Source organism: Homo sapiens, chromosome X (assembly GCF_000001405.40).
Source record: "Homo sapiens chromosome X, GRCh38.p14 Primary Assembly".
Taxonomy (NCBI): domain Eukaryota; kingdom Metazoa; phylum Chordata; class Mammalia; order Primates; family Hominidae; genus Homo; species Homo sapiens.
The window spans coordinates 97,250,102-97,272,013 of NC_000023.11; the positions used below are offsets into that span (position 1 = coordinate 97,250,102).

Sequence of the window (21,912 nt, forward strand, 5' to 3'; positions counted from 1 at the left end):
AAAAACAAAAAACAACAAAAAATAGGACCATGATTCCATTTCTAGTATAGGATCCTTTGTACTAGATGATCTTTCCAATATTTCCATCCAGTGCCAATAAATTGTTTTGCTTCAAGTCACTGGCCCTTTAAATTGAATAATTAGGGTCACAAGTATTGGAGTAGTTTCCATGGAAAGTAACTTTAGCTACTTAAACAGTAATCTGTCTGTGAGGACTGAGTTCACAAGCTGAAAAGCATTCGTATGCCTCTGGACTTCAGAACAGCAACAATGCTGTAGTTAGCAGCAATGGCATGATGGCTTCAGGGCAACTGAATATGCAGGTTGGATCTTCAAGTCAGGCTATGTCCTGGAGCACCCTATATTTACCCTTACTCTTTCCCAATTTTGATTGAACACTTAAAGTATGCTAGACATTGCCAGGCATGAAAATTGAACAGTACACAAGATGATAGAAAACTTGACCTCAGGCTGCTGACAGTCTGACATTTGTATGTTCTCTGTCTTGCTGTTCCCATGGCAGAGATTATGTATGGTTTGTTAATTACTATATGCCTACCACCTAGCACAGTGTAGGCACTCAGTAAATATGTGTTGAATCACACGGTATTATAGCTAGAGACAGTGAAGATCATCTAGTCCAAGCCCCTGCCTTTACTTAGCACTTCAAAACGATACTGTCAGTGTTAGGCTGTGCTTATATTTATAAAAATTTTCTTCATATATCTCTCACAAATGTATCATTGAATCACCTTTATAGAGCATGCTGTAATGTATAATCAGTTTTAAGAGAGAGGATCCACAGCTTTTAAAGTAAACATCAGAAAAAACATAGACAAAAAACAAAAACAAAAACAAAAAAACCTCTCCTTTGAATGGAGTTTCCAAGGCTATTTCTAGCCTGCTGGGGCCAATGGCTTTAGAAGGAAACTCATCACCTCTTTCTTCCTTTCTCTACCCAAAATAGGTTGCTTGTTCTGACTCAGAAAAAATTAGATGGTATAGGAGAGAAAAATCAGTCGTTCTTGACCCATTCGAAGGTTCATGGCTGACACCCTATAATACCATATTAACAAGAGCAAAGCATACAAATTTATTTAATGTGAGTTTTATGTGACACAGGAAACTCCATAAATGAAGACTCAAAGAAACAGGGAAAAACCATGTATTTTATGGGCAGTTGTGCAGAAGTATGACTGGTGGATAAAAGGATATGATCTAATGGTAATAAGCTGGGGGCAACCCATGAAGGCTGGTTCAGATTATTTTCTGTATCTCTGTATGACAGTCTTCCCCCAGGTATGGGGAAAAGACACCTGTCATGTGAAGGTCTCTTTTTTTTTTTTTTGGAGACGGAGCCTCACTCTGTAACCCAGGTTGGAGTGCAGTGGCGCGATCCCGGCTCACTGCAACCTGGGTTCAAACGATTATCCTGCCTCCGCCTCCCGAGTAGCTGGGAATACAGGCACACGCCACCACGCCCAGCTAATTTTGTATTTTTAGTAAAGAAGGGGTTTCACCATGTTAGCCAGGCTGGTCTCGAACTCCTGACCTCAGGTGACCAGCCCACCTCAGCCTCCCAAAGTGCTGGGATTACAGGCACGAGCCACAGCGCCCGGCCTATGTGAAAGTCTTTGGTGAGGAAGGACAGAGCTCAGAAAGTGATCTTCCTAGGTTTTATGGCTTCTTTCAAGGGAGAGGAATTCTAGTTTCTTTGACTTGCTTCAGGAGACAAAGGAAGGTACGAAGGAGGGAGGGATAAGTTCAGAGACACCTTCTTGCTTCTGTGGTCCTCCTGGTGTCCTTCAGCTCAAAGTATTCAGCATGCCAAGGTAGCGTACTTCCAGATATTGTGTTCTGAACCCCAACACTTTACTTTTTTAAAAAAGTCAAAGCATCATTTTTACTTACCAATCCTTGCTTCTTCTGTCAGAAAAGAAACCCATTCTTAAAAGAGGACTTCTTAGACTTTTAAATATGTGTTGTGGTCCATTCTTAACATCTTAAACTATCTAAAAAAGCACATCAACCACGATGTCGACCTTACTGCTTATATCCAGTTGACAAATTCCTTACCACATTTACTTGCAGAGATTTTGTCAATGGCAGGGTTTTCTGTTGCCCAAAATCAGCTTAGCTTTTTGATTGACTGCTGGTTAAATCATTTCCCCAACCGGAGGACAGAGAGTGACTGAGCAGCAGGGGCACCATTAACACATTGACAAGAAGAGCTGACAGAATGTTAATGACATTAACACCCTGTCAACTAACTATCAACACTTGGGATTTCCTCATAGTATGAGGGAAGTCATTTGAAGTGGTTACAAATCAAGTTACTGAGAAGGCACATTATCCTTTCCAGATAATTCAAAACAGATTTGGGGTCTTCACTGCACTGCCATTATGTTAATTGTATTCCACCTTTATTTATTAAGATAATAATTTTTAAGTAGATGAAAAAACTCACAGAACCACCAGTGACATTGATCACCTTTGAGAACATGCCAGTAACAGGTTTCAGGGAGATGATAATCCACACTTTGTAAAGCAAATGTCATATAAAATTGACAAAATAGAAATGAAAGCAAAAACAACCCTCAAGAGCAAAGCTGTTGTGTTTTGTTTTGTTTTGTTTTTAATGAACATAGTAATTCAGGTCATTTTCTGGTGCCTAAAGAAAAATTGAGAACTTCAGATTAGGCTGGAGGGGGGAAGTTCATCACCTCTGACTCTCTCCTTACCCTCACTGTCTGCTCCTCTCAAATGCAGAAAATTAGAAAGTTCAATGCAAACATTTATGAGACTGTTCAGGGAGAGGAGGGTACAGGATTTAAAAGGGGGCATTGTCAGTAATACAGATAATGCATACATTGAGAAGCAAATTGTTTTAGAAAACCACAAGGGGGGCCGGGTGCAATGGCTCACACTTGTAATCTCAGCACTTTGGGAGGCCAAGGCAGGTGGATCACCTGAGGTCAGGAGTTCAAGACCAGCCTGGCCAACATGGTAAAACCCCGTCTCTACTAAAAATACAAAATTAGCCGGGCATGGTGGCACAAGCCTATAATCCCAGCTACTCAGGAGGCTGAGGCAGGAGAATCACTTGAACCTGGCAGGCGGAGGTTGCAATGAGCAGAGATTGCATCATTGCACTCCAGCCTGGGCGGCAAAAAGAGTAGGACTCCGTAAAAAAAAATAAAATAAAATAAAATAAAAAAAGAGGAAAAGAGTGCTTTTTAAAAAAGTAAGATTCTTAGCATTTTTTGAAATATACTCTCTTGACAATGGTACTGGTCAATGGAATTTTTAGTTTAATTGAATTTAAATAGAAAGTATTATCATTTATGATAATAATAAAGTAGTAGGCCGGGCACAGTGGCTCATGCCTGTAATTCCAGCACTTTGGGAGGCCGAGGCGGGTGGATGACTAGGTGAGGAGTTCGAGACCAGCCTGGCCAACATGGCGAGACCCCGTCTCTACTAAAACTACAAAAAAAAATTAGCCAGGCATGGTGGTGCACGCCTGTAATCCCAGCTACTCAGGAGGCTGAGGCAGAAGAATCGCTTGAACCCGGGCAGCAGAGGTTGCAGTGAGCCGAGATTGTGCCACTGCACTCCAACCTGGGCAACAGAGTGAGACTCTGTCTCAAAATGAATAAATAAATAATAATAAAAAAAACAGTAATAATAGTAATAAACTGTTATGAAAGAAAATCAAAGCCAGAAAGAAGTTAAAGTGGTAAAGGCCAATTTTATTCAGCAACTATTGCAATAGGAGAGAGACCTTACTATACAACGAGGCTGCATTCTGATACAACAAAGGCAAGTGGGGATTTATAGCCAAGAAGCAGGGTGGAAGTCAGGCAATGGAACATTACTAGAAGGAGATATCAAAGATAAGGGGATTCCCCCTAAACCAACTTGATAGGATTCTTGCTGAAGGCAGGCAAGGCTAATAAGATATGAAGAGTGGAGGATGAGGAATTTGACCATATATGAAGGGTGGAGGATTTTTGCTAAACAGACCCAGTAGGATTCTTGCTAAAACTGGACTGTCAGGGCCAAGGACTGAGCCTAAGAATGAGGCCTAGTCAAAAAGAGGACTCAAGGCTGGGCGCGGTGGCTCACGCCTGTAATCCCAGCACTTTGGGAGGCCAAGGTGGGTAGATCACCTGAGGTCAGAAGTTCGAGACCAGCCTAGCCAACATGTTGAAACCCCATCTCTACTAAAAATACGAAAATTAGCTGGGTGTGATGGCAGGCGCCTGTAATCCCAGCTACTTGAGAGGCTGAACTAGGAGAATCACATGAACCCAGGAGGCGAAGGTTGCAGTGAGCTGAGATCACACCATTGCACTCCAGCCTGGGCAACAAGAGCAAAACTCTGTCTCAAAAAAAAAAAAAAAAAAAAAAGGACTCAGAGGAACCTGACTAAAATTTGGTTCAAGAGAGAGTCTTTGTCACTGTTTAGTTAATGTCATATGCCAGCCATTATGCTAGGAATATCTATATCTATATATCTGTCTATATATTTTCCTAAGTGACCGCCAAAGCAATACTATGAAGTAGGTACTATTACTAACTTTATTTTATTTTATTTATTTTATTTTATTTTATTTTATTTATTTTATTTTATTTTTGAGACAGAGTCTCGCTCTGTTGGCCAGGCTGGAGTGCAGTGGTACAGTCCCGAGTTCAAGCCATTCTCCTGCCTCAGCTGCCCAAGTAGCTGGGACTACAGGTGCTGGCCACCACACCTGACTAATTTTTGTATTTGTATTTTTAGTAGAGACGGGGTTTCACCATATTGGCCAGGCTGGTCTCGAACTCCTGACCTTGTGACCCACCCGCCTCAGCCTCCCAAAGTGCTGGGATTACAGGCATGAGCCACTGCACCCAGCCTTAACTTTATTTTAAATGTGATAAAATTGAGGCTATAGAGGTTCAACCATGTACAGGAGATCACATAGGTAATATGTGTGGTTCATGAGGGTCAGAATTCCAATTTTGGTCTTTCCGACATTAAACCTTGTGCTTCTAACCATGGTATTGTGCTGCCTCCGAGGTTAGACCTGTTTGAAAATCTGAGATAAGTTCTACATTTGTTCCCTGTGAAACTGTTTTTTTGCTTCCTTTTCAATCTCTCTCAAATGGGAAAAAAAATGTTCTTTTTGAAAGGATTGTAAACTGATTTAAAAATTAGCTGCTCACTTATACCATCTCCTCCAGAAAGCCTTCCCTAATCATAGCAATCAAAATTAATTTCCCTATTCCCTGTATTTTTATAACATTTTAATACTTTGATTATTGTACTTGCTGGTTTGCCTGTACTCTGTTCATGTACATGTACATATCTATTTTGCATACTGGTTTATGTACTCTTTTCAGATACAGATTCTGATTCATATTTTGAGTACTTCACAACAAGCCTGTAACAATGCTTTATAGAAAGTCAAGTGCTTAATAAATGTTTATTTAAATAGGTTAGAGTTTATTATATAATTAATATAAAACTTAACATTATGGCCAGTAAACAGAACATTAGCTTGTTTTTCTGGCATAGCCTCAGTTTAACAGAAGAAAGGAGTCTAACATGTTTCAAATGTTATTCTTTTATCATGTCTTGATTTAAAATGCAGCTATTGAAAATTATGTCTTAACAGATTTTAAGATAGAAATCACATTCTAAGACCCTGTCTGAATGGAGCATATTTTTAAGGGTCCGTTAGCACAAAAATTTTCTCTTTGAAGAGTTTTGCTTGCTTGAAATTCACCCTGAAATTACGTACACTATGAGCTACATTTTTCAAACTTTGTTCAGGGAATTGATAGACATTTGGTGCATGATGCTAATGGTGAGAAGAGAATATATTGCTCAGTTAAAGGATACATAAACCCTTTCAGGCCACAAGAGACTCATCTGGGAAATCATCTTTTTCAGAACATAAAACGGAACTTAATTTGTCTGAAAGAGTTAATGTACCCTCAACCTGACAAATTCTAATCGCTCTCACCAGAAGCTAAGTTTTAAAAGATGTAAAAACCTTTCTGTGGGATTTATTCATATTGAGTAGAAATAACACAAAAAAGAAGCTTGAAAGAATAAATTACCCAATATGAATGTGGTTTTTTGTGTGTGTATGCACATAAGGAACATGTAGCATGTGCACATGTCTATTCGTAGATGTAAAGCCATTTTGGTATTTATAAGACTATAAATTGGATATCATACCAATGAATCTGTGAATTTGTTTTCTTTGCTTTGATTTAAAATTTGGTAAAAGTTTTCAATTATGAAACACGTGGTATCTTAAGCATACATAGTTTACAGGTAATAATAGTGATGTTAGTATAATTCCTCAAGTAATATACTCTGGTGCAAAATCTCAATCATGTACTGTTTTCATAATGCAGAAAAATATATCAGTATGTTTTTGTATAATAAAAGTGTGTTTACTTATTTCTAGTTAGGATGTGTTTGACATATAGCTTATGAAAAGTATGGCAAGTAAACTTGGCTTTTCATTCAGTAATCCCTGCTCTTTTCTTCTGTTTTTGTTTGTTTGTTTGTTTGTTTGTTTGAGATGGAGATTCTTTCTGTCACCCAGGCTGGAGTGCAGTGGCGCCATCTCGGCTCACTGCAACCTCCGCCTCCAAGGTTCAAGTGATTCTTCTGCCTCAGCCTCCCGAGTAGCTGGGACTACAGGTGCATACCAACATGCCTGGCTAATTTTTGTATTTTTAGTAGAGACGGAGTTTCACCATATTAGCCAGGCTGGCCTTGAACTCCTGACCTTTTGATCCGCCTGCCTCAGCCTCCCAAAGTGTTGGGATTACAGGTGTGAGCCACCACACCCAGCCTTTCTTCTGGTTTTAAATTGCTTTACAAGATGAAGACTGAAAAAAAAAAAAAATACAAGAAAGTATAGGAAATCATTGTTTAATAATCATGTAATCATGCTGTCTTTTATGTTGCAAATGTAAGATAGGATAATAATGTAGTACATTGTCTGAATTAATTAATGAAGTGAGGAATGGAAAAAAATATATGACATTACTGAAAATTATCTAATTGAATTTTAATAATAGGATTGTATGTATACCTAGTAAGACATATATTTATAGAACTATAATCAATTTGAGAGGATCATATCTCAGCTACTTATTTAAGGCTAAGGGATTCACTAATGGTAAGAATGGAAAAATCAATGAAAAATTTAAAAAGGCCGTGTGGACAAGCTTTGCAAAGATCATCAGTGAGGAGAATAGGACCTAGTCACAAACTGATGATGTCTGAGGAGACAAAGGGCATGAGTAACTGAGTTGACAATGGTTCTGAGAGGTAACGGTAACAAACCCTCTTTATCGTATCGAAAGCAAATATCTAGTAAGTGGCTTTTCATATCTGCTAAGACATTATCAAATTTGTGCACAGCAACTCTGTTCAATTACTGATCTCTAGATGCCTTTATCATAGGCCTGACTCAGAACCTATATATAAAAGTACCTTCAAACTTTAGTGTTCTTTCAGATGCCAAGTATTTTACTTAATCCATGTGAATGAAAAGATATTTGGACTGGGTATCCATTGAGTTAAGCTCTAGCCTTGGTATTTGTGAACTTAGGAAAGACTGTTTACCCAGTCATAAAATTGAAAAAATCATACTTGGCTTGCCTACTTCATATAAATTGTTATTAAAATTAGGTATAATAGAGTGACTTTTAACATGCCTTGCAAAATGGAAAATGCTTTGTAAAATAGAATAACCATTTAAAATTGTCATTTATGTATCATTCTCCCCTAAACCGCACAAATAGGAAATAATTCTATCCCCCAAGGAAAATGTTCTTTGTTTAAAAAAAAAAAAAAAAAAAAAAAGGCCTCTTTTTTCCAATTTCATTTTATCTAACTTTAAAAACATTTTTAAGTTCTAGCTAACTTTGCTTTTTGTATGTAGACCAGTAAAGGGCACATTTTTCAAAATGTAGTGAATGCTTGTAGAGTAAGCAGGATGCTAACACCTCATTATTCAAGGAATATCCAGATGTTCAGTGTTAAACTTTGATTCCTTACTTTTTTCACTTTGGTAGGAAAGAGGAAGATGGAGCAATAGAGTTTGAAAATTCTTGCATACTTTATGAATGATGACATTCTATATGCTATGACACCTATAAAATAAAGATTAAGGGGGCCAGGTGCAGTGGCTCATACCTGTAATCCCAGCACTTTGGGAGGCCAAGGTGGGTGGATCACCTGAGGTCAGGTGTTCGAGACCAGCCTGGACAACATGGTGAAACCCCGTCTCTACTAAAAATACAAAAATTAGCCAGGCGCGTGGCACGCGCCTGTAGTCCCAGCTACTCGGGAGGCTGAGGCAGGAGAACCGCCTGAACCCAGGAGGTGGAGGTTGCAGTGAGCCGAGATCATGCCACTGCACTCTAGCCTGGGAGACAGAGCGAGACTCCGCCTCAAAAAAAATAATAAGAGCCAGTCACGGTGGCTCACGCCTGTAATCCCAGCACTTTGGGAGACTGAGGCGGGTGGATCACGGGGTCAGGAGATCTAGACCATCCTGGCTAACACAGTGAAACCCCGTCTATACTAAAAATACAAAAAAAATTAGCCGGTCGTGGTGGCGGGCGCCTGTAGTCCCAGCTACTCGGGAGGCTGAGGCAGGAGAATGGCGTGAACCCGGGAGGCGGAGCTTGCTGTGAGCCGAGATCACGCCACTGCACTCCAGCCTGGGCGACAGAGCGAGACTCCGTCTCAAAAAAAAAAAAAAAAAAAAACAACAACAACAACAACAGAAACAAAACAAAACAAAGAAAGAAATGATCTTCCTTCCACTGCTCCAAACTTCTAAGACAATGTATGTGAACGCTCAACACAGACAGAAAACCTCTACTGATATCTGCCTGAGGCAGGCAAATCACCTGAGGTCAGGAGTTCGAGACCAGCCTGGTGAACATGGTGAAAACCCGTCTCTACTAAAAATACAAAAATTACCCAGGCATGGTGGCACGTGCCACCATGAGTAGTCCCATGAGTAGTCCCAGCTATGAGTAGTCCCACCATGAGTAGTCCCTTGAGTAGTCTCATGAGTAGTCCCAGCTACTCAAGAGGCTGAGGCAGGAGAATCACTTGAACCCAGGAGGCGGAGGTTGCAGTGAGCCAAGATCCTGCCACTGCAGTCCAGCCTGTGTGACAGCATGGGACTCCGTCTCAAAAAAAAAGATCAAAAATGTTCTGAGAAAACATCAAGTAGACCTCTTTGGCTGGAAGTAGTGAGAGCTGTTACTAAGAAAGAGGGTAAAAATCAAATTCTAAATAATTAATAATATTGGTCTAAGGAGTTTGAACAGTATTTGGTGGGTTATAAATTGCTGAAAGGCAAGAAACTCTTGTTCCGTCTTCTCCCTGCTTCCAGCCACCACATGGTATTTGCCTGAGAGTGATACTTGCTACCTGCCAACTACTGATCCAAGTAAGTACTAAAGTCAGAATTGTTTCCAGTATTAGAAAGGTATGTGTGTGCACCCAGACTCATGTGTCTGATGGGGCAAATGGTTATTTCTTTGTCTTCAATAATGCATTTAACTGTTCTGTGGTTGAATTTGTAATACAGTTATAATAACTTGCATTTATATAGTGTTTTAAAGCTTGAAAAGATCTTTTATCTTCTCATGTCTAACCCTAAATGTTCTGTAGCAAAAATTATCATATTAAGTTTTGTTTTGTTTTGTTTGAGACGGAGTCTCACTCTGTCGTCCAGGCTGGAGTGCAGTGGAGTGGTCTCGGCTCACTACAACCTCTGCCTCCTTGGTTCAAGCAGTTCTCCCTGCCTCAGCCTCCCAGATAGCTGGATTACAGGCGCCCGTCACCACTCCGAGCTAATTTTTGTATTTTTAGTAGAGATGGGCTTTCACCATGTAGGCCAGGCTGGTCTGGAACTCCTGACTTCAGGTGATCCACCCGCCTTGGCCTCCCAAAATGCTGGGATTACAGGCCTGAGCCACCACACCCAGCCACATATTAAGTCTTGCACCTACTTGATGTTGTTGAGGATTCATCCATTTCACAAATATTTATTGGTTGATTACTCACTGTGTGCCAGGCACTGTGTCAGATAGTTGGAACACAGTGGTGAACAAAAAAGATACAATGCTTACTGTCAAGGAGATTTTACTTTGCTAAAAGAGATAGACATTCAGCAACTACATAAGCAACTATGGCAGGTGATAAGGAAGAGATTTATAATGCCATGCCAGTCAACAACCTAGTTACAAGGACTGCCCTCCAGAGAGAATAATACTTGAGCTGAGATCTGAAAGATGAGTAAGAATTAATTCAGGGAAAAGGTGAAGAGGAATCTTTACCTCAGCCTGTTTATCTACAGGTGTTTCAAATGTTTGACAGTTTGGTACCTTGGCGATGATTTGGTTAGTTTCTTGTTTATGGTCTTACTGGATTTACAATCCTAGTGGAGTTTTAAAGTTGGAGTTAGAAATCTCTCAAATTGAGCCAAATCCTGAGGACATTTTATGTTTAAAAAACCCTCTTAACTTTTCTCCCCCAAAAGTTGCTTTTTTACTATTGGCTAGGGATTGAGTATGGATATTTTTGAAAAGCTATGTCAGATTCCGTGGAAAACCTAAAGCTCTGTGAACCTTGTGGGAGCTGGAATTTTTCAGCTAAGAGGTTCGAATAGATTTAGGTATTTATCCAAACCGAACTTTTAAACCACCAGAGATTTGCCCATTACTAGTTTACATAGAGCTTAACTACAGTGGTTTCCTCTTTCAACATTTACTTTTTTTATTTAAACAGCTTAATCGAGAGCTATAAAAACACTGGATCAGTCTTTTCAAATAAAAATGAAATGCAACTGCCATGCGTTAGTCTTTTAGAAGAAGCCCTTCTGCCTGTAGGCAGTTTAGGTGTTAAAATGATGGCTTTTTCAATACCAAAAGATCTAGTTTTTGTTTGCAAGGTCATATCTTTGAATTATTAGTTTATAAAAACCTGGCATATCTTCGAATTATAAGTTTATAAAAACCTGGCAGTTCTTTTGATTTTAGTTACAAGTGCACACGTGTGTGTGTGCACGTGTGTGTGCATGTGTGTGAAACACCAAGAGTCATGAGATTTACATTATTGGCTTGTTAATTAAGGGAAGAATTCCATAATTGTTTTAAATCAATCACACTGCACAGGGGACATTTTGCCTATTTGTTTTTCTGCACATATTTTATATGTCATTGTTTATGTTTGCTTAAAATGCCAAGATGTGCTTAAGTTAGTAATGCTAATATTGATCCAAAACTCTCAATTTATGACTGATTCTTCATTTTTTTCTTTTGTAAGTCATTGCTTTGCTTTAACTCTTAATGTTATCGGGAATAAGGTATTTTAATACTCATTTCCTTTAGAGGAAATAAAAATATCAACTTTCTTTTTTTATTTTTTATTTACTTTATTTTTATTTTTAGAGATGAGGTCTGGCTATGTTGACCAGGCTGCTCTCAAACTTCTGGCCTCAAGCAGTCCTCCCATCTTGGCCTCTCAAAGTGCTGGAATTACAGGTGTGAGCCACCACGCCTGGCCTCAACTTTTCAGTAAATTAACCTGGAACACAGAAAGTCAGAGAAATGAAATAATAATTCCAAGTTATGCAAATAAGTACATTTATGTACAAAGGGATTGTATTAGGTGATCTTGAGCATCACTTTCAGCTCTAAAAAGTTCTTATATTGCCAAAGCTAGGTAGTACGTTCATCCTTGTTCTGCTCAAACATTAAATGCTTAAATGTTGAATTAATTTCTTCTCTGATTCATCACACCAGTATTGATATTATAATATTGTGACATCATTCCTACTGGTCACAAATTCATCTATTCATTCAACAAATATTTATCAAAAAAAAGTTTATCAGATACCTACAATGTGCCAAACCCTGTTTTTTTCAGTGGAGATTCAGTGATGAGAAACTAAAAAAAAAAAAAAAAAAAAAGAAAGGCCTTTGAGCATATATTCACATATATTCTAGTGTTGTAGAGCATCAAAATAAATATGTAGTATAATATCATACAATGATAAGTGATAAGGAAAATAAAGGTGAGTAAAATAATTCATTAAAGAATGATAGAGACACTTGTTTTTAAAGTTGGCCAGGGCAGGACCCCTCCAAGGGAGTAACATTTAGGCAGCTGTTTGAATCAAGTGAGGAGACGATTTGCGTGAGTAACTGAGGGAAGAGCTTTCCATGAAGGAGGAACAACTAGTGCAGAGGCTGTAAGGAATGAGCATGAGTACAAACACACGTAAGGTATAACAGGAAGAGCAAGACCAGTGGCTGGATTGCAGCAAGTGAGGGAGAACGTAGAAGGAGCAAGGATAGTTCTGATGTGAAATCATGGAAGACATTGTATAAGGGAAAGTCATTAGAGAATTGAAAAGAGATAATGACACAGGGGTGAGGATGACTGGATGAGGAAGAAGGGAGGTTGTCGGGGTGATGAATCAAGAGTTTGGTTTGAGAGGTGGGAAGTTTGAGACGCCTATTAGGCATCCAAGTGGAGATGTAGATATGTGAGCCTAGAGTATAAGGGGAAGGTACACATTAAAGACAGAAATCTAGGAGCCATCGCCATGGAAATTGTGTTTAAAGCCATTAGACTGGTTAAGGTGACCTAAAACACATGAACAGACGGAGAAGAGAGAGGTCCAAGGACTCAGGTCTGGAGTACTCCAACGTTTAAAAGTTTGGAAGATGAGAAGAATTTTAACGAAGGTGTAGGGGAACTTAAAAGGTACAGCCTATGTGGTAGGAGGAAGCCAGAAAATTCTGTTGGCCTGAGAGCCAAATGACAAAAATGTTTGAAGAAGGATCTTTTGACTAGGCTCTGTGCATTGATTAAAAAGGTATTATATGTAAGGCATTGAACACAGACAGCAGAGAGGAGCTAGTGACTTCAGAACCCTCTAAGTATTTTATTGAGAAAATGTAGACTCATATCATGCATCTATTCTTTTACTTTGTTATTTGTTAGGATAGCACATGCATTAGATTTTTTTCCTCTATCATAGCTGACTATTTCCAGATCAATCAAAATGTCCCTATTAAGTTGTCAGTTACATCACAGATAATTGCCATAAGCCATTCATTTCATGTTTTTAGTATCCTGTGCAATAAAACGCTGTGAAACACTTTGAACAGTTATTCAGTGAAATCTCAATTATCTGGAATTCTAGTAAGCATATATCTGTTTATAGATAACCAGGATTTTCCAAATTTGAGCATTAACCATTTGAATGCTAGAATATTTTTTTAAGGAAAAGCCTTCTAAAGTGCATTATTATATTGAGCACCAGCCATGTGCTAGGCGTTTTATTAGGCACTATAACTATACATTCTTATAGCTTATGGACCTTTGTAAATAGGATGTTCCAACTGTTATTTATTTATTTATTTATTTATTTATTTATTTATTTATTTATTTTTGAGACAGAGTCTTGCTCTGTCAGCCAGGCTGGAGTGCAGTGGCACAATCTCAGCTCACTGCAACCTCCGCCTCCTGGGCTAAAGCGATTTTCCTGCCTCAGCCTCCTGTGTAGCTGGGATTACAAGCATGTGCCACCACGCCCGGCTAATTTTTGTATTTTTAGTAGAGACGGGGTTTCACCATGTTGGCCAGGCTGGTCTCGAACTCCTGACCTCAGGTAATCCGCCCACCTAGGCCTCCCAAAGTGCTAGGATTACCGGCGTGAGCCACTGCGCCCAGCTCCAACTGTTAGTTTTTTATTTATTTATTTATTTATTTATTTATTTATTTATTTGAGATGGGGACTCACTCTGTTACCCCAGCTGGAGTGCAATGGTATGATCACAGCTTACTGCAGCCTCGACCTCCTGGGCTCAGGTGATCATCCCACCCCACCCTCCTGAATAGCTGGGACTACAGGCACATTGCTACCACGCCCAGCTAAATTTTGTATTTTTTGTAAAGATGGGGTTTCGCCATGTTGCCCAGGCTGGCCAACTGTAATTCAACTACATCTTAATGATCTTAGATTATCATCAATTCCTCTCAGCTGCTGTAGAGATATTTATCTGATAATGCAGTATCATATGCCTAGAAGGCTTTTTTTCTCTATCCTTCTGAAACTTTATTTCATTTTTTGCTTTAAGAAGGTCACATAGGTGCTCTATAGGCACAGATGATTGTTTGGCCCCTTGTGTGTGAATAAATGCACATATGCCTCTTTCTCATCGTTTTCAGTCATTCTGTGTACATATATGTCTCACAGAAATACTCATGCATAGACACACAGACACACACACACACACACATGCTATACATTTCAGGGCACTATATTGAAGCAAATATGACTATTCATTTTCTTGCTCACACATACACACACATGTACACATGTCTCTGATGCCACTGAGGCACCTGGCCAAGTGGTTAATTAACCTTTGCACAAATATATTTTAGAAAAGTTATGTGGCATCAAGGGCTACATTACTGTTGGTCCTCACAACTTCTTACCCTCAAGGAATTCAGGGATGGTCAATCTTCTCCTTAGAAATGACTTTATTCGGCTGGGCGCAGTGGCTCACGCCTGTAATGCCAGAACTTTGGGAGGCTGAGATGGGTGGATCACGAGGTCAAGAGTTCAATACCAGCCTGGCCAAGATGGTGAAACCTCATCTCTACTAAAAATACAAAAATTAGCCGGGCATGGTGGCGGGCACCTGTAATCCCAGCTACTTGCGAGGCTGAGGCAGAAAATTGCTTGAACCCGGGAGGCGGAGGTTGCAGTGAGCCAAGATCACACCACTGCATTCCAGCCTGGGTGACAGAGGAAGACTGTCTCAAAAAAAAACAACAACAAAAAAAAGACTTTATTCTCTGTTGTCAGTGTATGTTAACCCTTTTATTGCATTTAATTTCTACAGGTGTTAGTCTACTATTATTTTTGTTCCAGTATCTCATCAAGTCAAATAAGCACAGAGTAAGAATTTCAAAGCTAGAGAGGGCTGACAATAATAGAAAACAGAAACATACTCAATATATACTCCTCTCTCACTATGAAGCTGGGGCATTGCATGACCAGAGGAGTGGTACTTTAGTAAGATTGCTCTGCCAATCTAGTCATTGCATGCAGAATGAATAAAAAAAGGGAGAGACTGAAAACAGGAAAATCAGTTAAGAGAGTCAAATATTTCCTATGTGCCGCTCAGTGTTCTGGGCCTTCAGTCTCAGAGAGTAATGAAACGGATGAGGTGCCTGCTCTCATGGAGCTAAAATTTACTTGGGCATGGAATGGGGTTTGGGATTCAGTGCTATGTTGTGCTAAGTGCTATGGAAGGAAATAAAACCAGGTTATGTGATGGTGACTGGGGAGCCACTTTAGGTTAGGAGGGCCTTTTTGTCGTGGTGACGTTTGAGCTGAGGCCTGAAATATAGAAAGATTCCAGACATGTAAAGATCTAGTTAAAAGCATTTTAGGCAGGGAGAATAGCTTGTTCAAAATTGTATGGAAATGGACATAAACTTAGCATATTCAAGAAACAAAAAGAAGGCCAATATGGCTGGTTGTGTGGTTAACAAAGGGGAGATTAGTATAAGATGAAAACTGAGAAAAAGGTAGGGACAAATCATGTAGGTCCTTGTTGGCCAGGATAAGGAGTTTGGAGATAACTATACTAATCCAAGTGTTCAGTAAATATTATTATCACTATTGAGTTGAGTTTTAACTAGACAGTTCTCTAAATGAGTTAGTCAGTGTTTAGGAATAACCCATGCTCACAGCATCATTAAATGTTTACTGTTAATTCTCACTGCTCTTTCTCGGTTTCTTGCAAGGCATTGTTGCAAAACTAATTTATCACATACGTTCCTAGTTGGGGTTCTTAAAAGAACATTTCTTTTTCTAGTATGACAGTACAGAACATGTGTGTGTATATATGTATATGTCTGTGTGTATACTTGCATATACTATGTCTGAAAAATACTTTTATTCTGATTGACCCTTTGTACATTTCTCAAATAATATAGTTTAACTACCCTTGAGCCAGAAACTGTGTCAGATGCTAGAGATCTAATGGCGAATAAGTCATAGTACTTGTCCTAAAGATTACAGTATAAATAATGTATTCTTTTGATCACAAGAAAGCTTCGTCCACAACTTTGAAGGAACAAGTACTGGCTATTCTCCTTTATTATTTTATGCAAATTATTATGTTTCATAAGGACTCATTGCCAGCATTTATTTTGTTTATGGACTTTGAAAGTAGGAGTTTCATTAACTCTCAGTTTGGACAGTATTATCTTTACATGCAGTTAGTGCAGTGACTGTCATCATCCTTATTAGAATACCACCAGGACATCTGGCAAGATGTCTAATATAAAGCAGCTATGTTATCTATTTCCAATCAAATGATTCTTTGGTGCTTCGATGTCCTGTAACTTCTCCACTTATGTAATTCTCTGCCATAATCTAATTTGTAAAGTGGGGTGGGAGTAAAAGAAAATTTAGAAAGAAACACAGAGCACAAACCCTTTATCCTGGTAAAGCATCTCATGTTTCAATTTGCAGTTGTTTTGGTAAAGTATAAAACAAGAAATATGATTATAAATATAGTTTTTATTTTTTACTGTGGGTAGGATGTTTTTTGACTAACACATGCTTTTAATTGCCTAATCTATTTTGGCTTTACCTTTAGAGAAAAATTACTGCACTTTGCTGCATCTGTCAAAAATGACACGATAATTCTTTGAGTCAAAACAGGGTACATGAAATGTGATTTTTGTTTATTTTCTGAAGAATAGCAGAACTCATTTTTTGACACATCCTTTACTGTGGTTAAGACTCCATGGCATAGAACAGACTGCTTATTTTGAGGTTGCAAAGTACAGCTAACCTACAAGAATAAGCTCTCTAATATCTTCTATCAAACCAAGAAATGATCTGTTTCACATGCACATAGAAAAGAATTGATTTTCTTACACAGGATGCTGCCACTTGGACTGTACATAGAGTTGATTTGTAATATAAATTAACTCACCAATTATCGATTGTTCCATCTGACTTTGAACACATTAAGAATCTGCAAAAAGTTTCTGAGTTATCAATAATAAGAAAGCTGTGTATGAAATGTAATGGGGTGCGTCAGCTGGATCCGAGTTAGATATTGCTGTAAATGTTGCTTAGCTTTGCCATCTGTCACATACTCTTTTTGCATAATATTTTAATCCATTAAAATGTGTCTTTTTCTTTTAAAAAACATTAGCTTACTTAGGTTACAATGAAAACCCTTTAAGAAACAGTCAGTGACCACTGACCTTTCCATGTCTTAAGTTACTTTGTAACTGTTTTTGCCTTTGTGCCCCCTCATTAAGATGAATAATGACAATCCTTAGAAACAGGAAATGCCAAGCTCCCAGTTGCAATGCTAACAAGTAGGAAGTCCCATTAACTTTTCAACTTCTCAGACAAGAAATAAATTTGGACATGAGACATTATTTCTGAAACTACTTGTCCTCAGGAGCAGTGATTGAATGAACTAAGGACTTGCTTTCACTAAGTGGAATGGAAAACTCATGTCACAGCATGTCAGTTTCTGCTTAATGAATGAGATATTCCCTGGGGAATAAATTAGGCGCCTCACGTACATAACTCTTTTAGGGTACCCAGACCTCATTGATTTCCTTTTGTAGAATAGTACCCACGTGACTTATAAGACTCACTGTACAACTAAACTGACTGACTTTGACCCTCATGAATAGTTTTGTCACCTGGGAGGGTTTGGTTAGAAATGGTCTCCACCCCTTAATAAGAAAGTCAGCTCTTTGCTCCCTGTTGGCTCACTGCTCTCAGGCCACTAAATGAAAGGCACTTGGGTGTCATTTAGAGCCATTTACCAAATGAACTATCTTGGCCTGAGAAAGTTAAGCACTGTTGGGCCTGGCAATTTACCATAATCAAAGAGCTAGAGCAGAAAATATGCAAGATCTGATTTCTGGCCAATTTGTGTTTTTCCCGTGTTGCTCTTGGCAGATCTCTGTTTTGAGTAGCCCACTCTTCTACTTCTCTCCATGTTATTAATTTGTAAAGTGAAACAAATTACTGACCCTTGAATTGTGCTATTACACATGCTTGAGTAATTTTATTTCATTTGCAGAGAATTTCATTTCATTTATGTATTATTTATACTCTACCTACTTCCGAAACAATGTGTACTGGCTTATTTTAATTGTAATTCAAATCATCTGAGTATTTTTCCAAGTCCTGTCCTGAAGAAGACTTGTGTCATCACACATCATTTCACATTTACTGTGCTATGGTGATATATTGGTTATGATGCAATTTCTCTGGCCACCTAAAAACGACTGTATTAACAAAACATCATGCCTGCAGTCTAATGTAACTTCTTTTGTTGTGGTGTGGTCTATTGGGAAAGAACATGCAACTTACAGTTATGTGCTTAGTTCTACCATTTATGTGACCTAGGGAAAGTCATTTGCCACATCTTGCTCAAGTTTACTCAGTTTTAAATGTAGTTGTTAATGCTTACTCCCCAAACCTTTCAAGGTTATGGAAATCAATGCAGTAAATACTGCATATAAAATGTCTGTGAATTCCCATATTTCTCCAGTTAACACCAGGAAGAATAATTGTCAGCTGAACTGAAATGATCAAGCAGCGTTCTTGTATTCAGGCACTGTTCTTTTTTTTTTCTTTTCTTTCTTTTTTTTTTTTTTTTTTGAGACAGAGTCTCACTCTGTTGTCCAGGCTGGAGTGCAGTGGTGCAATCTCGGCTCACTGCAACCTCCGCCTCCCAGGTTCCAGCGATTCTCCTGCCCCAGCCTCCTGAGTAGCTGGGATTACGGGCACTCACCACCACGCCCGGCTAATTTTTGTATTTTTAGTAGAGATGGGGTTTCACCATGTTGGTCAAGCTGGCCTCGATCTCCTGACCTTGTGATCCACCCGCATCCGCCTCCCAGAGTGCTGGGATTACAGGCGTGAGCCACCGTGCCCGGCCTCAGGCACTGTTCAGACAAATGAGGGATGGAGATGTGACAAGAGAGAGTTCCTATTTTGAGGAGCCACAGTGTTGTGGTGAAAAAGGCCCAGCACACAAACAATTATAAAATTCCCAATGGGATAAGTGGCACAAGTGAGGTATGCAAAAGTGTCATAGCTGACAGGAAGAGGAAGCAATGAACTCTGGCCAGGAAAATGGGAACTAAGTGAAAAATTAGGGTAAAACAAGATAACGTGTGGGAAATTCCTTCAGAAACACTCTGTGGATACTAAGACACAATCTTATCAATGTCATTTATTTAACAAGCATTTATGTATTATTTACAATTTGCCAGACAATGTTCTAAATGTCTTACAATAGGAAATCATTTAATCCTGTTCATTCAGGTCTGTTTGCTGCGAAAAGGAATTCTAGAAGCACTAAGGAAATCCTAGATACAGAGATTCCTTTGTCTTCTAGTAAGGAGGAAGCATACTGGGTCAGTTAACATCCACATGTCTGTGAGGCAAATGGTTAGAAAAGTATATACCAAAAATAAATGAATGAATGAACAAACTAAGGAATAAAGACACAATGAAGGAGATACTATTTTTATTTTTTTTTTTTTTTTTTGAGACAGAGTTTCAGTCTTATTGCCCAGGATGTAGTGCAATGGCACTACCTTGACTCACTGCAACCTCTGCCTCCCGAGTTCAAGCGATTCTCCTGCCTCAGCCTCCCGAGTAGCTGGAATTACAGGCATGTGCCACCATGCCTGGCTAATTTTGCGTTTTGTTTTGTTTTGTTTTTTGAAATGGAGTTCCTCTCTTGTTGCCCAGGCTGGAGTGCAGTGGCGTGATCTCGGCTCACCACAACCTCCGCTTCCCAGGTTCAAGCAATTCTCCTGCCTCAGCCTCCTGAGTAGCTGGCATTATAGGCACCCGCCACCATGCCCCACTAATTTGTATTTTTAATAGAGACGGGGTTTTTCCATGTTGGTCAGGCTGGTCTTGAACTCCCAGTCTCAGGTGATCTGCCCGTCTCGGCCTCCCAAAGTGCTGAGATTACAGGTGTGAGCCACTGTGCCTGGCCTAATTTTGCATTTTTAGTAGAAATAGGGTTTCTCCATGTTGGTCAGGCTGGTCTCGAACTCCTGACCTCAGGTGATCCGCCCGCCTCGGCCTCCCAAAGTGCTGGGATTACAGGCGTGAGCCACCATGCTCGGCCTTGAAGGAGATACTATTAACCTCATTTTACATGATAGGAAAACTGTGGTACAGAGGGACTAAGTTGCCCAAGGTCACACAGCTACTAAGTGGCAGACCTGAGTTTGAACCAAATGAGTCAGGCTCTAGAGGTGGCAGCCTTAACAAGGATGCTATACTGCTTCTCCCATCACCCATCAACACAGAAGTGGACATCTTTATTGCTGGAATCCAGCACTGGAATCCCTTGGTGGTCCTTTTGATCTCTGTTTCAGTACCTATAGAAACGACAAGGACTTAACCAGCTCTTGAAACAGCTGACTACATTTTTGGACAGTTGTAATTACTAGAGAGTTCTGAATTTGAGCCAAGATCTACTTTTCCTGGAACTTCCACCCATTGATCCTATGTCTGCTTTCTGACACTACATAGACTAAACCTTCTTCCACATAACTGTAAAAGTATTGGAAAACATCTCCCATGCCTCCTGCTTGAATTCCACATTCCCATGTAAAAAGAAAGTGACATTTGAGAGCAATTAGATTTCATTATTCCATTGAGCATTTATTTATGGGGTGCCTATTGTGTGCAAATTGTTATACAGTGTGCTAGCAATCGCAGAGAAAATGAATAGCACCAGATTCGCATGTACAAAGTATGTACTCTGCACTAAGCTATTCCACTGCTACCCAAAATGTGCAATTATCATTTAAGATACAAACTAATGAATAGAATTATTGCCTGCACTTATTTAAATCAGGGTTTAAATAAGCAGTGTCTTGCTGGGTGCACCTGTATACATGCCTTAATTACCCCACAGGATTACAAACCTGTGGGCAGAAACTGCTAATACAGCCTTGTATTTCCTACCACACCTAGCACAGGTTCTTTGGCAGAGTAAATGAGCAATAAATATTTTTGAATGAGTGAGAGAAATGCTGTATTCATTAATGCTGTCCTTCAGATAATTGCTCTAAATGATGTTCACATGTGATCATAACAATAACAAATACAATTTTACTTTGCTGTTTGAATTTCTTCAAGTTTTGTGTGCCACATTAAATAGCACTAGAGAAGCAAATTTTCCCAGAAGAAATGTCGTAGTAAAATGTTTGAAAGACAGCAAGGTAATTCAACAGCCAGAAATACAGAGCTTTATAGTACTGATCAGTCTTCAACTCTTTTTGAAAAGATTCACTGTTATCAACTGAGAACCTCTCCACCACCATGTGAGCCCAGTAAAGGCATTTTCTAGGTTACCATCCTGGGGTGCTCCTTTGGTACCAATTGTTCTAATATTATTATTATAGTGGAAAATGCAACAACATCATTGAACCTGTACCCTGACCTTTCAGTTGGCCTTGGTGTAGAGCATCACACAGTCAAAGAATCAAGTTCAGATCAGATTTTAATCCCACTACATTACTGTTTGCTCTGCTTTTTGAGGAGATTGCAATGACTATATATATATGCACACACACACACACACACACACACACACACACATGCGTACAGACATACATATATACACATATATGTATACACACTGTATTTTATATATCTATGGAAAATATGTATTTCCATTCTGTAGTCTATGAAAACTTGTATGAATGGGGCAAGGTACAATACACAATAAAATAATAATGCCCATGTTAAAAACTTTTTTTTTTCT

At 39.2% G+C, this 21,912-nt stretch overlaps 1 protein-coding gene across 2 annotated transcripts in view, besides 1 other annotated feature; it reads left to right on the forward strand.

The window, feature by feature from the left end:
• The window catches only part of DIAPH2 (diaphanous related formin 2), a 920,156-nt gene that overhangs the window by 565,260 nt on the left and 332,984 nt on the right, over positions 1-21,912 (forward strand). The gene's annotated exons all lie outside the window — the stretch shown is intronic.
• Positions 1,817-2,640: an enhancer, noted in NCBI's record as "OCT4-NANOG-H3K4me1 hESC enhancer chrX:96506917-96507740 (GRCh37/hg19 assembly coordinates)". NCBI's record gives its function as "activates a minimal SCP1, AML or CMV promoter by ChIP-STARR-seq in naive H9 embryonic stem cells {active_cell/tissue: H9 hESC(naive)}" and the evidence as "EXISTENCE:reporter gene assay evidence [ECO:0000049][PMID:30033119]".